This window comes from Homo sapiens, chromosome 3, assembly GCF_000001405.40.
Source record: "Homo sapiens chromosome 3, GRCh38.p14 Primary Assembly".
Classification (NCBI taxonomy): Eukaryota; Metazoa; Chordata; class Mammalia; order Primates; family Hominidae; genus Homo; species Homo sapiens.
The window spans coordinates 186,981,996-186,995,825 of NC_000003.12; the positions used below are offsets into that span (position 1 = coordinate 186,981,996).

At 44.6% G+C, this 13,830-nt stretch overlaps 1 protein-coding gene and 1 long non-coding RNA gene across 3 annotated transcripts in view, besides 2 other annotated features; one reads left to right on the plus strand and one right to left on the minus strand.

Moving 5' to 3' along the window:
- The window catches only part of ST6GAL1 (ST6 beta-galactoside alpha-2,6-sialyltransferase 1), a 148,028-nt gene that overhangs the window by 51,470 nt on the left and 82,728 nt on the right, over positions 1–13,830 (plus strand). The window lies entirely within an intron of this gene.
- On the minus strand, positions 1,302–12,957 carry LOC124906314 (uncharacterized). Its single transcript, XR_007096208.1, has 3 exons — positions 9,645–12,957; positions 5,603–5,676; positions 1,302–4,696 (listed from the first exon to the last, which is right to left on the minus strand). It is a non-coding gene; the product is annotated as an uncharacterized LOC124906314 (long non-coding RNA).
- Positions 4,086–4,215: an enhancer, noted in NCBI's record as "active region_20949". NCBI's record gives its function as "activates an Ori minimal core promoter by ATAC-STARR-seq in GM12878 lymphoblastoid cells {active_cell/tissue: GM12878}" and the evidence as "EXISTENCE:reporter gene assay evidence [ECO:0000049][PMID:35858748]".
- Positions 8,846–9,140: a silencer, noted in NCBI's record as "tiled region #11729; HepG2 Repressive DNase matched - State 23:Low". NCBI's record gives its function as "represses a minimal TATA promoter and a strong SV40 promoter by Sharpr-MPRA in HepG2 cells {active_cell/tissue: HepG2}" and the evidence as "EXISTENCE:reporter gene assay evidence [ECO:0000049][PMID:27701403]".

Here is a 13,830-nt window from a genome sequence, read left to right on the forward strand (position 1 = left end):
ATGATAGCAGTCACGCTATGATACAGGTCACACTGGTATTGTTTCACAAATGAATAAACGGGCCTAGAAAATTCAACTAGATTTCCCTAGGTTAGCAGTGGAGTTGGACTTCAAACCTAGGTCTGTGTAGCTCACAAATGAACACTTATTATGCTTATACCATTTTGCCTCATTAGAATAATAGGAAGTCCTTCCTTTTTTGGTGAGGAAGAAATTTAGAGATTGGTTACCCTGACTGGTGATACAGAGCAAAGCTATGTACAAATTGCATCAAAGGGTGGCAGATCCCTACATTCCCATCTAACATCACATCATTCCTAACCTTTTTCCATGTGGATAAGCATGACCTTAGTCAAGTCATTTCTTAGTAAGATAGATTGTTGGTTGCTCGTGACTCTCAGTGAAGACCCAGTAATGCCAAGAATCATGGCAGACAGTTAGGGGGAATATGTATCTTCAACTATGGGGCAGTATGGCAAAGATATTGAGGGCCAGGAATTTGACTACTTTTGAGGAGCGATGACAACTGAGTACAGGAAGTGAGAGGAAGGGAGCATGTACCGTGTATCATTTAATCAACCTTGAGCTTGAGACCAAAGGGAACATACCCTAAGTTTAACTAGGATGGGTTTATCCAGATATAATGGCATCACATCGTAAATTGAAAAGTGTCTGTGTGTAATTCTCTCTGTCTTATTTCTTCGAGAAGGAGTTTCGCTCTTGTTGCCCAGGCTGCAGTGCAATGGTGTGATCTCGGCTCACTGCAATCTCCGCTACCCGGGTTCAAGTGTTTCTCCTGCTTCAGCCTCCCAAGTAGCTGGGATTACAGTCGCCCGCCACCATGCCCAGCTAATTTTTTTATTTTTAGTAGAGACGGGGTTTCACCATTTTGGCCAGGCTGGTCTTGAACTCCTGACCTCAGGTGATCCAGCCACCTCGTCCTCCCGAAGTGCTGGGATTACAGGCATGAGCCACCGCGCCCAGCCCCAATTCTCTCTTTTTAATAGTAATCTAATTACATTTATTTGGCTGCTTTGTTTTCTGTCTCAGGTACGCTAAGTTTGTCTCTCAAAACTCTTTGTGGGCAGGAATTGTAGTTTATATGGTAGTGATGGTTGTATTTTAATTTCACAGAGTGTCTAGCAGGTAATAATTAGCCAATAAAATGTTTCCATTCATTCACCAAATATTTACTGGATAGTTACCACGGTTTGGGCACTGGACATAAAGGTGCTAGGGATACAGTGATAATTATTACTTGGCAGTTGAAATGCTTACGGTTTTAAGGGAAGACAGACATGTAGGCACATTAAAATGACATTTTAATTTGATTAGAATATAATTGAGATTTAAGTAAAACTTATTGGGAACTCAGATGGGAAATAATGAGAAAACAAAGAGAGGGAGGCAGATTTAAGAAATATTCTGAGAGTAGAAAATAGAAGCTTGCGACCTATTCAGTTGGAATCAACACTGTTTATAGGATTGCTCTAGGGGCAGTGAGGCACTGGCGTGGACAGTGATCCAGGGGCACTCAGGGTGAGGGATGAGTTGAATATGAGGTGAGAAAAAAGGGAAGTTGAAGATACCAAGCTTAGCAAGGTAGTAAGAGGTGGAGAGAGGAAGGGAGGGGATTATAATGGTTATTATATAGGGAGTGCTTATTACTATGTGCAAGGTAATTAACACGAATTGCCTCATTTTTTCCTCATAATAAAAGAAGTAGGCACTTTTGGGGATACAGACACTGAGAGCAGTTGAGTAGCCTGTCCAAGATCAGACCTTTGAGGAGTGGAGGAGTTAGGTTTACGCCCAGGAATCCTTGCTCCAGAGTAAACAGTCATGCAGCTGGGTGGAGAAAAATTCCACTAGCTGATCAAGAACATCCGAAAAGCTCTCATGCTGATAACTCCCAAATATGGATCTCCAGCTCACACCTTCTCCCTGACCTCTAGACTTTCCTATCAGGCTTCCTACTTTACGCTCTGTTTGACAGTCTCATCTCAAACTCAGAATATCCAAAGCTGAACTCCAGATTTCCTCTGCCCCCAGGTCTGCTCTTCCTTTGTCTCCTCTTTTTCCATTAAAGTAGCACCATCCGTCTAGTTGCTTGGGCTCCAACCCTTGGAATCATCCTTGACTCTTCTCTCTCTCACACTCACATCTAAAATATCGGGCATGATTTTCAAAGCACGTCTAAAATATACCCACTTCTCTGCCTCCACTGCAACCAGCTGGTCTAAGCCATGAGCATCGCTCACTGGGACTGCTGCTGTCTCCTTACTACTATCCCTGCCCCCTATTCCTGTTCCCACATGGCAGCCTGAGCAATTCTGGCATATTAAGTCAGATCTGGTTGTTCCTCTGCTCAGCCTCCTGCAGCAGCTCCTATTTTATTTGCTAAAAGCCAGAGTTCTTGCCAAGACCTCAAAGGCCCTGCCCAGACTCCTCCACCTCCCCGACATCGTTGTTTGTTCCTCCCGGACCCCGTCTCCATGTACCCTCTTCCTTGATCCTTTCCTTCCAACCAGTGCACACCAGTGCACTCCTGCCTTGAGCCTTGCCGCAAACACGCTTCCCCAGATATTGTGGGACTCATTCCTCCACTATCTGCAACTCTTTGTTCAAATGTCCCCTTCTCAGTGAGTTCTCCTCTGACTGCCCTTTGGAAAATGGAAACCTACCTCAACCCAGTACTTCCGATCTCCCCTTTCTTTCCTTCCCTTCCTCCCTTCCTTCCTTCCTTCCCTCCCTCCCTCCCTCCCTCCCTCCTTCCTTCCTTCCCTTCCTCCCTTCCTTCCTTCCTTCCATCCTTCCTTCCTTCCTTCCTTCCCTCCCTCCCTCCCTCCCTCCTTCCTTCCTTCCTTCCTTCCGTCCTTCCTTCCGTCCTTTCTTTCTCTCTTTCTCTGTCTCTCTCTTTTCTTTCTTTCTGAGATAGGGTCTCGCTCTGTCACCCAGGCTGAAGTGCAGTGGCACGTTCTCGGCTCACTGCAACCTCCACCTCCTGGATTCAAGTGATTCTCCTGCCTCAGCCTCCTGAGCAGCTGGGATTACAGGTGCCCACCATGACACATGGCTAATTTTTGTATTTTTAGTAGAGATAGGGTTTCACCTTGTTGGTCAGGCTGGTCTCGAACTCCTGACCTCAAGTGATCCGCCCACCTCAGCCTCCCAAAGTGTTGGGATTGCAGACGTGAGCCACTGAGCCTGGCCCTATCCCCCCTTTCTTGTACTCTACTTTGTTCTCTAAGCACTTAGCATCTTTTAAGATACCAAATAATTTTTTTAATTTGTTATATTTACGGCTCTTAGTGTCTCCCTCTGCTAGTATGTAAAACTCTAAGGGTGTTGATCTTCATCTGGGTTATTCACTGTAGTATCCTATGCACTAAGAATTATACTTAGCACTTAGCAAATGTTTAATACATTTTTTTTTAAAGTGAGTAAGCGTAGAATATAAAGCTTTTGTGCAGGTCTCTAAAAGTTTTTGAAAGGATATGATCTGAGGCTAGGCACTCCCAGCACTTTGGGAAGTCAAGGTGGGTGCATCTTGAGCTCAGAAGTTCGAGATTAGCCTGGGAAACATGGCGAAACCCCGTCTCTTCAAAAAGTAAAAAAAAAAAAAAAAAATTAGCTGGTCCTGGTGGAGCATGCCTATAGTCCCAGCTACTCAGGAAGCTGAGGAGGGACGATTGCTTGAGCCTCAGAGGTGGACGTTGCAGTGAGCCGAGATTGCGCCACTGCGCTCCAGCCTGGGTGGCAGAGTGAGACCCTGTCTCAAAAAAAAAAAAAGAAAAAAGAAAAAGAAAAAAAGACGAGGTCTGGAGTCTGAGGGAGATGTCACTGGGGGCTGGTCATGTGGAAGCAGGAATCTTCCCCGTGTATGTGGGCATTTCAGGACTGGCAGGAAGCTGGTCCCAGGGGAGGCTAAGCTGGGGAGGATGCCTGAAAGGCATTAGTGGGAGGGAGTTTGAAAAAGACCCAGAGACGCCTGTTTGAAATAAGTATTGGAAAGGACTCTTTAGATTTTGCAATTAGAAAGGCAGTTTCAGTGGAATGATGTGAACCGACTTCAGTTATTTGAGGAACCAGTAGAAAGTGGGGAAGTGTAAGCAAGTCAAGAGACCCCGCCATAAGGAAGCAGAGATTAGGTTGCCGTTTGAGGAAGTGATTTGTTTGAGGTATTTTTTTTTAGCTCCACAAAATATCATGTTTCGGGTGTGAGTAGGGATGGGGTAAATGACACACTAAGCTAATAACATCCAAACCAGCTTGTGAAACATCGTGCAAGTTATATCTGGTTCATACCAAAGAGTCGCTACTCAGTCCAGGCCTCTATCATGCCTGGCACATAGTGTTGAATATTGTATTCAATAAATATTCAACAGTAAATATTTGTTGAATACAGTATTAAATACTATAGAATTTAGACAGGTCCCTGTATCAACAACAGCAACAATGACCACCACCACCACCACCACCACCACAACAAAATAACAAGAATGTCCAATGTAGGGGGTTGCTTTTTGATCCACTTGCCTTTGGCTAGTGGTGTCTTTCTCTCCTTAGCGCCATATTCTTCAGCACTTTTCGGCAGCTGTATGTGGTTCTATTTTGGTCTCCTCTTTACTGCACGGCGATTATGTTTTCAAGAGGCAAATCTTCAGGGTGACTAGAGTGACACGTTATCTGAGTTCTGGATGGAGGTAAAGGAATATCACGGTGAGTCTGGGGAAGCAAGGGGACAAGAGAGTTGGCCAAATGAGGCGGAAAGACCCCAGACTTGCGATCAGAAGAACCTGATGTCAAATCAGATGCATCTTATAGCAAGTCGAGCCACCTCTCTGAAACTTGAATTTAAATGATCTAAGGTCATTTCCTTTGGATTTTATAGAAAGAATAGTGTCAGGAGAAAAAGAAAAACAAGGAACCATGACTTGCTAAACATACTCAGAACCAAAGGTTTTCTTTCTTTCCTTTTAAAAAAAAGTGATATACAGTGAATACAGGCTTAGTTCCCTAATGGTGGCAAATGATGTAATGTTCACAGATGTCCTGGGGGAAAACAGAACAATCAACTTCTATTTTACTCTTACCATTTCTGAGAGAAGTCAGGCAGACTGCATAGGAAAGGAAGGAAAGAAAGAAGGAAGGGAGGGAGGGAGGAAGAAAGAGAAAGAGAGACAGGGAGGGAGGGAGGGAGGGAAGGAAAGAAAAGGAAAGAAAGCAAGGAAGGAAGGAAGAAAGGAAAGAAAGGAAGAAAGAAAGAAGAAAGAAAAGCCCCTAAGGTTAGTAAGTATCTTATGTCCCTGGAACTACGCTAGGCACATACATACCTTACCACCTTCCTTATCCAGTGAAGGGTATTACATCAGTGTTTTAGGTAACCTACCCAAGGTCCACAGCTAACAATGGGGAGAGAGGATACAACAAGCCTTTGGGGGAGAAAATTGAAGCCCACGGCCCACAAGAAATAAAGCCAAGAAATGTAGTTGCTTAAAGTCAGCCAGATTCCCCAGCACCCAGCATAGTGTCTTATTCTTAGGAGAATTTGAGAAATATTTATTTATCTAAGGGATGGTTGGTTGGTTGAACGAATTACCTGAGGAAACCTGAAAATGTTTTTTGCTGAAGTGCTGTTGAAGGTCCTCAAGATCTTACGGAGATGGGAGAAACCTAGGGGGAGAGAAATAAAATTTAAATTTTCAAAAGGAATAATTATAAACCAACTGTATCAGGCAGTAACTGAGTTGACCTATGGAAAATGCATAGCACATGGTAGTACTCAACAAGTGATAACTATGATATTTAAGGGAATTATTATTATCATTAAATAAATATGTTTCTGCTGCTGCTTCTTATGCTAGAACTTGAGACACAGAGTTATTGGGGCTCGTATTTAAAAGCACTTTAGTTTTTCTGTATGCATAATATCCCATGGTGTAAGGTAACCTCTTTTCCAGTTGGCAGTCATGCCTAGCTTCTCATACCTCTGCTTTAGTTCCTGTTTGTGGTGTCGGCACAGTAAAATTTATATATGGCCATATAGCCTATATGTTAAAGACCATCCCAAGTATCTCCTCAGTGGTCAGGCATTTTTGTATGATACAGAAGCATACACTTTAATTGACATTGGTTGTGGTGGTAATTAACTTAAAACTCTTCGATTAGACAGTGAACATCTTTGTATCCTCAGTAACAGGATTTCTGTTCTCATAGACGACATGGTAAATGTGGACTGGATGATGGTTCAGTTGGTTTACACGTAGGGCTTCTGGAAGTGTCTCTAACGGGTGCTAATTTGTGTTGGTCATGGGGATAATGCTTCCTCAGCTCTAACCTGTGATTTAGATTAACACATAAAGGGCTTGTTGATCACACTGACGGAAAATTTGAAGCTGAGAGGGGTAGAAGCTATTGTATATGCCAGAATCGAGATTCCCTATAAATTTAACAGCTTACAGGAAGGACTGAGTGAGGAAAGACAGGCTGCACCAATATAAATGTAAAGACCTAGCTGTAGGCTCCAAATACCAATGGTTAAGCCAGGCTGTGTGTGTGTTTTGGGGTGGGGGGGTGGTGGTGGGGGCGGGTGGTGGTGGGGTTAAGGATTAGGACTTGTAAGAAAAGTTAGTGAGGTTATCAGTTGCTCACACTCTGTAATCCCAGCACTTTGGGAGGCTGAGGTGGGGGGAATCACTTGAGGTCAGAAGTTCGAGACCAGCCTGGGCAACATAGTGAAATCCCATCTCTACAAAAATTACAAAAATTAGCTGGAGGTGGTGGTGTGTGCCTGTATTCCCAGCTACTAGGGAGGCTAAGGTGGAAGGATGGCTTGAGTCCGAGAGGTGGAGGTTGCAGTGAGCTGAGATCACACCACTGCACTTCAGCCTGGGCGACAGAGCCAGAGCCAGACCCTGTGTCAAAACAAAAAACCAAACCAAACCAAACCAAACAAAACAAAAAAAGGCTAGTGCACCTGATTTCAACTAAGTGAGAATCATTAACATGAAGCTACTAAAAACTAACCAGAAACTTTCAGTATTTGCATCGTAGAGGTGTAGTCATTCCTCTTGTTTTACAGTAATTGGGTCACACCTGGAACTGAGCTTATTGTCATTCTTTTAAGAGTGAGGGGGGCAAATGGAAATAGGCCCAGAGGACAATAAACAGAAAAGTTAGGAGATTCAGAAACCATATTATCTAAAGAATGATTCAAAGACTGAGACTATTTAGCTTGAAAAAGAGAAGGTTTAGAAGAGTGCCATAGTCTTAAAAGGTTGTTTTTTGGAAAAAAGAACAGACGTTTGTTAGAACCAGGAAATGGATACTTAGGGGAATGGGGAAGAGTTCAGTCCAACGTATAAAAACATTTCTTAATTAATATTTTGCTCTCTGCAGACAGGCTGTCTTGAAAGAAGGGTTGTCATTATTACAGATGTGGAAGTAGATGCTGGCTGGCCACTTTTTGTTGCTACTGAGTGGGGGATTTTTATTCATCAGATAGAGGATTGGGCTGATGTCCACTAAGATCTTTTCTAGCTGTGATGGTGTGTTGCTAGACCTCACAGAGCATGAAGCCCTATGCACCATGTTCGAGGGAACCTGGATAACATTGTTGGCAGGCTAGTGGGAGCTGGCAGAAAGCTTGAGCTTTGGATGCAAAGCTAATGATTAAAAGCTTTGTGTATTTGACTTGCTGTCAGCATAGAGAACATATCAATTTGAGTTTATGTAAGATAATTAGTATTCCAAGGTGCCCACCAGGTAGCATTTACTATTTGAAAAATAGCAGAATAACTGAGGGCATTTGATTTTGCATGTCTTCTCCCAAGGGATCTCAGGGACCCTGTGGACCTCCTGGATGTCCTTCCAGCACTGCTCCAGCAAGGTCCCGGTCAACACTCTTACTTCACAGGAACCCTTCCTTATCCACCCTTATCTGTAGGGGCAGTCTTTCCTCTGGGTGCTGTAGCCACAAGCTTTGGAGTTAGATGAGTTGGTTTGAATCCTAGCTCTGTACCAGCTCCATGACCTTGGGCAAGTGGCTTAGTTCTTGACTGCGTCTTGCTCTGTCGCCCTGGCTGGAGTGCAGTGGTGCGATCTTAGCTCACTGCAACCTGTGCTTCCCAGGTTCAAGCGATTCTCCTGCCTTGGCCTCCCCAGTGGCTGGGATTACAGGCACATTCCACCATGCCTGGCTAATTTTTGTATTTTCAGTAGAGACAGGGTTTCACCATATTGGCCAGGCTGGTCTCGAACTCCTGACCTCAAGTGATCTGCCCGCCTTGGCCTCCCAAATTGCTGGGATTACAGGTGTGAGCCACCAAGCTTGGCCTAAAGCTTCTCATCTCTATCTATTGAATGCAGGTGACTCATTTCCACCTGCCAGATTCTTAATGATCATTAGAGCGAGAGAAACTGCCCAGCAGCACAGCACTAGCATGTGTTCATGTTCAGTCCATGGTGTTAATATTTGTGATGATAGGCATAGACTATTGATAGACTTGATGACTATATTCAGTCATCTGTGGGTAGCTACTTGGTGTGAAGAATTCCTTGGCTGGGGCTGAGGAGAGTTCTCTACCTCACCTCAACCCCAGCCGCCTTCTCCCATCCCTCCCTCTTAGACCAATCCCTTCCTACAGGATGTTCTTTTTTTTTTTTTTTTTGATTTCCTCTAAAAAATTTCAATAAAGAAAATAAAGCAGGAGGTAGAAAGCAGGAGAATCGCTTGAACCCGGGAGGCAGAGGTTGCAGTGAGCCGAGATCGTACCATTGCGCTCCGGCCTGGTCAACAAGAGCAAAACTTCATCTCAAAAAAGAAAAAAAAAAAGGATATAAACCAGCTTCTGGCATTACCCAGGAGCAGCTGACCTAGATGCTTGTTCCAGTAAGTTCTCCTCACTCCCTCTCATGCTTGTCCGCCTCCCCACCTCCTCCACCCCTGCTTCCAGGCTGTCTGCAGACCGCTGGGCCGGGTTTCACAGTATTGGCGTGAATCAGCTTGCCAGGCTTCTACCCTTTGTGCTTGGTGGTAGCTAACTGACTTTTTTCTTTTTCTCATGTGGTCAGGATTTTTCCACTGAAGCATTTCTTTTATGATGTGGGAGAGACAGATAGCACCTGGCTAGTTGCCTTCTTTTGGACTTGCTGTGATTTGACTTTTCAGCCAGGCCAGGTATTTATTTTCCCTTGGGTGGAGTGTGGTTCTCCCAGAGATGCCTCATTCATGATTCATTTGTTCAGGGCATACAAAAGGCATTTCTTAGGACCTAACCTGGGCCTAGCGGTGTGGTAGGTGCCTGGGCTTCAGAGAAGGCTAGGATGGTTGCTAATTCTCTGAAAGGTCATGCCCTAATAGAGGAAACGGACATAGAAACTGTGAGGGGCGCTGTCTTGGGGTCTGTACAGGGTGCTGTGGGAGCACAGGGAAGGGTTCCTAACTCACACTGGGGATCAGGGAGGCTTTGGCTCCTGATACTAAATGACCTCTTATTTGATACACTTTTTATGTCAGACTTGCTGGTTCTTTCCACACATTGAGTCAAAGGGTGTCTCTGGTTCCTCCCTGGATGGACTGATACAGGCCATTTCACTCACTCTCCCAAGGGTTTATCTCCTCTGGCCTCTCCGAGTCTCACCTGGAGGTGTGTGTTCCTGTGGCGTGGGTTCCTTGGGAGCGTGGGTGATTCACCGGCTGGCCTCATCCCATACTGATCCTCTGGGGTGATCCCTATTCACCTTGTCTCCTTTGCTGTCATAACTCCACTGCTGGGGGCAGAGGTGGAGATGTTGAGCTTGTGGGCAGGAATAAGTTCCACTGAGCCACAGAGCTTGACTCTGCTCACCTTCCCACAATAGAACTCAGAGTTGGAATCCTTTCCCCAGCCACCTCCCCTCCCATCTGAGGACAGAGGGTAACCTGCCCGTCATCTCTGGGGTTATCTCCAATTTTCAGTCTCCCTCATCTCCAGCTGACCTCCCATATGGCCAAATCGATCCTGAGGTTGGGAATCCAGTTCTTCAAACTGAGCCCTTCAGACTCTGCTGTGGTACGTGAAAACAGTTTCAGTATCCCGCCATAAATACCTTCCAAAATTCTAAATGTAGTACATGACCATTGATATGGTTTGGCTGTGTCCCACCCAGAATCTCATCTTGAATTGTAATCCCCATATGTCAAGGGAGAGACCAGGTGGAGGGAATTGAATCATGGGGGCTGTTTCCCCCATGCTGTTCTCATGATAGTGAGTGAGTTCTCACAAGATCTGATGGTATTTTAAGTGTTTGGTACTTCCTCCTGCTGCCTTGTGAGGAAGGTGCCTTGCTTCCCCTTTGCCTTGCACCATGATTGTAAGTTTCCTGAGGCCTCCCAAGCCATGTGGAACTGCAAGTCAATTAAAACTCTTTCCTTTATAAATTACCCAGTCTCCGGCAGTTCTCACACAGAAGTGTGAGAATGGACTAATACAATCATGACCTTAAAAAATAAATAAATAAATAAATAAAACATGGCCGGGCGCGGTGGCTCCCGCCTGTAATCCCAGCACTTTGGGAGGCCAAGGCGGGTGGATCATCTGAGGTCAGGAGTTCAAGACCAGCCTGGCCAACATGGTGAAACCCCGTCTCTACTAAAAATACAAAAAAAATTAGCTGCATGTGGTGGCGGGCACCCATAATCTCAGCTACTCGGAGGCTGAGGCAGGAGAATCGCTTGAACCTGGGAGGCAGAGGTTGCAGTGAGCTGAGATCTCACCACTGTACGCTAGCTTGGGCAACAGAGTGAGACTCTGTCTCAAAAACAACAACAACAAATATTTGAGGCCTACTTTTTTGAGAACAGAAAAGCAAATTAGACGTGGTCCTTGCCCCTAAGGTGCTCACAGTCCACTATCTATCTAGGTCAGATATTTTCCACTGCTGGTCAGTGTTTATGAGGCAAACTGTTTACTAACTTGCCTAACACTGCCTGTCCCGTGCAGTTCTTCCTGGATTGACGGCAGCTAGATCCTGTGACAGAGGACAGCTGTTCCCCGCTCCCTCCCATCACTCCCCTCCTCTGTCTCCTGGCCATAGCTGTGGGCTGCAACTCTGACTTGAGTGTTTGTGTCCCTAGTGCGTTTAGCTTCGGGTGGGGGCTGCCTTTGCAGGTACTCGATAAACACCTGCATGGGGAGTTGAAATAACAAGTTCTTAAAGGAATCTAATTCGAGGGCACACTGCTGGTGGGCCCTGTTTGGTGGCCCTTGGGCTGAGCACATGCTTTGATAGTTCACTCTCAGAAACATCCAGTCTGGTTCTTAAGTGGCCAGAATGACCCGATGGAGTTAAGATTTCCCGTTTTTGGCATAGGGTCACCTGTACGTCTTTCATTCTAAACAAAAAAGTCAAGCATGTCTTGTCCTGTTCTCTCAAGCGTGTTAGCGAGATGGAAGACATAATGGTGGCCAGAGAAGCTGGAAGCAAAACTAAACAGAGGTGCAGATTTGCAGAAGCTACCCCTTGGCATCACGGGGTGCAGTTTTTCTCTGCTTCTCAGTTAGATAACTTGACAGAGTTTTATTTATTTATTTATTTATTTATTTATTTATTTATTTATTTATTTATATGTTTTAGAAAACTAAGAGGCCTAGGTAAATAACTGTGCCTTAAAGCCCTTCTTTCCAACCAGGAGTAGCAGCATGCTAGAAAAGAAAAGGGTGGGCCTGGGAAACTAGATTTGAATTTTGGTTTTGTCACTTTCTAGCTGTGTGGTCTTTCGAAAATCATTTGATTCCTCTGAGCTTCAGCCTCTTCACCTGTAAAATAATCAACCCACAGCATTACTCAGAAGATTTACAATAAAAGAGAAAACCTAGCACATTACGTTATGTAAGCGATACTTATAACAATGATGATAATGATAATAATCATCATCATAATAACAATTGAATGGTGGGCTCTCTGCTGCTGCATGTAGGTAGACATGGCTCTACTTCGTCATCAGAGAGGGTCTCTGTGGCCTGAAGCACTCGGCAGGCTCCTTGCCTTCCACATATTTCTATGTGTTGGGATGAGATTGTCTTCAATCCTTAAATATCAACTAGTAGAAGCCTAGTACAGCTTCACCTTGGAGGAGAAAAATATGTCGATTCAGCTCTACTCAGCAACTTTTTTAAAGTGGAGAGATTGAGAGAGAAAGAGAGAGTAATTGAAATAATGCCCACAGTTCTGACAGCCTCTTGATCAGCTGAAAGCCCACAAGTGCAGGTGGGGAGACATGAATTCGAGTTCTCTCAGTCTCTGTAGGGTGAGCAGCTTGTTGGTCCAGGTGTGATCCCAGTATTTAAATGTTTGTCTTTTTAGTGTAACATGGTAGTAAACTGAAGACAATTACTTCTTCTGGTGCACATCCTGATCCCTTTCAGGGCTGGAGTCTAACACAGCTGTGTTAGATTCACTGAGTGAATTTTATATGAGTGTTCAGGGCTGTATAAACAGACCATATATTCTGTATTTCATAGGTGATTCAAAGTGGGGGGACTTTTTGTTTGTTTAACTTTCATTTACTGCACATGAATAGTCATACAAAATAAGATGTTATTTTAACTGACTTCAAATTCAGCTGTTTATTTTTTCATTTTTGCTGTAGATATTTCAGTATGTATATTTAAAAGATAGAGACCCTTTAAAAATAGGCCGGGGCGCAGTGACTCACACCTGTAATCTCAGCACTTTGGGTGGCCAAGGCGGCCAAGGAGTTTGAGACCAGCCTGGCCAACATGATGAAACTCCGTTTCTACTAAAAACACAAAATTTAGCCAGGCATGGTGGGCGCCTGTAATCTCAGCTACTTAGGAAGCTGAGGCAGGGGAATCGCTTGAACCCAGGAGGCGGAGGTTGTAGTGAGCCAAGATCACGCCACTGCACACTCCAGCCTGAGCAGCAGAGTGAGACTCCCTCTCAAAAACAAAAAAAAAAGAGACCCTTTAAAAATAAAAACTACAAGATACTATTATCACATTCAAATAAGTAAGTAAGTAAGTATTCCTTAATACCAGATATGGAGTCAATATTCAATTTTCCTCAATTATTATATATATATGTGTGTATGTGTATATATTAGTGTTTGAGTGTATGTATATAGATATGGGTGTGTATAGTTTTAAAATAGTTTGTGTATTCAAATTAGGATCCAGATAAAATCCAAGTGCAATAGATTGATAAGACCTTTAAGATTGTTAAAATGGGCCAGGCATGGTGGCTCACGCCTGTAATCCCAGCACTTTGGGAGGCCTAGGAAGGCGGATCATGAGGTCAGGAGATTGAGACCATCCTGGCCAACATGGTGAAGCCCCGACTCTACTAAAAATCAAAAATTAGCTGGGTGTGGTGGCATGTACCTGTGGTCCCAGCTACTTGGGAGGCTGAGGCAGGAGAATTGCTTGGACCCGGGAGGTGGAGCTTGCAGTGAGCCAAGATTGCGCCACTGCACTCCAGCCTGGGTGACAGAGTGAGACACCATCTCAAAAAAAAAATAATAATAAAATAAAAAAAAAATAAAGAAATTGTTAAAATGCAGGCTGTGCATGGTGGCGGCTCACTCCTGTAATCCTAGCACTTTGGGAGGCTGAGGTGGGTGGATCACCTGAGGTCAGGAGTTCGAGACCAACCTGGCCAACATGGCGAGACCCCATCTCTACTAAACATACAAAAATTAGCCGGGTATGGTGGCTTATGCCTGTAATCCCAGCTACTGGGGAGGCTGAGGCAGGAGAATAGCTTGAGCCCGGGAGGCAGAGGCTGCAGTGAGCCGAGATTGTGCCACTGTGCTCCAGCTTGGGTGAC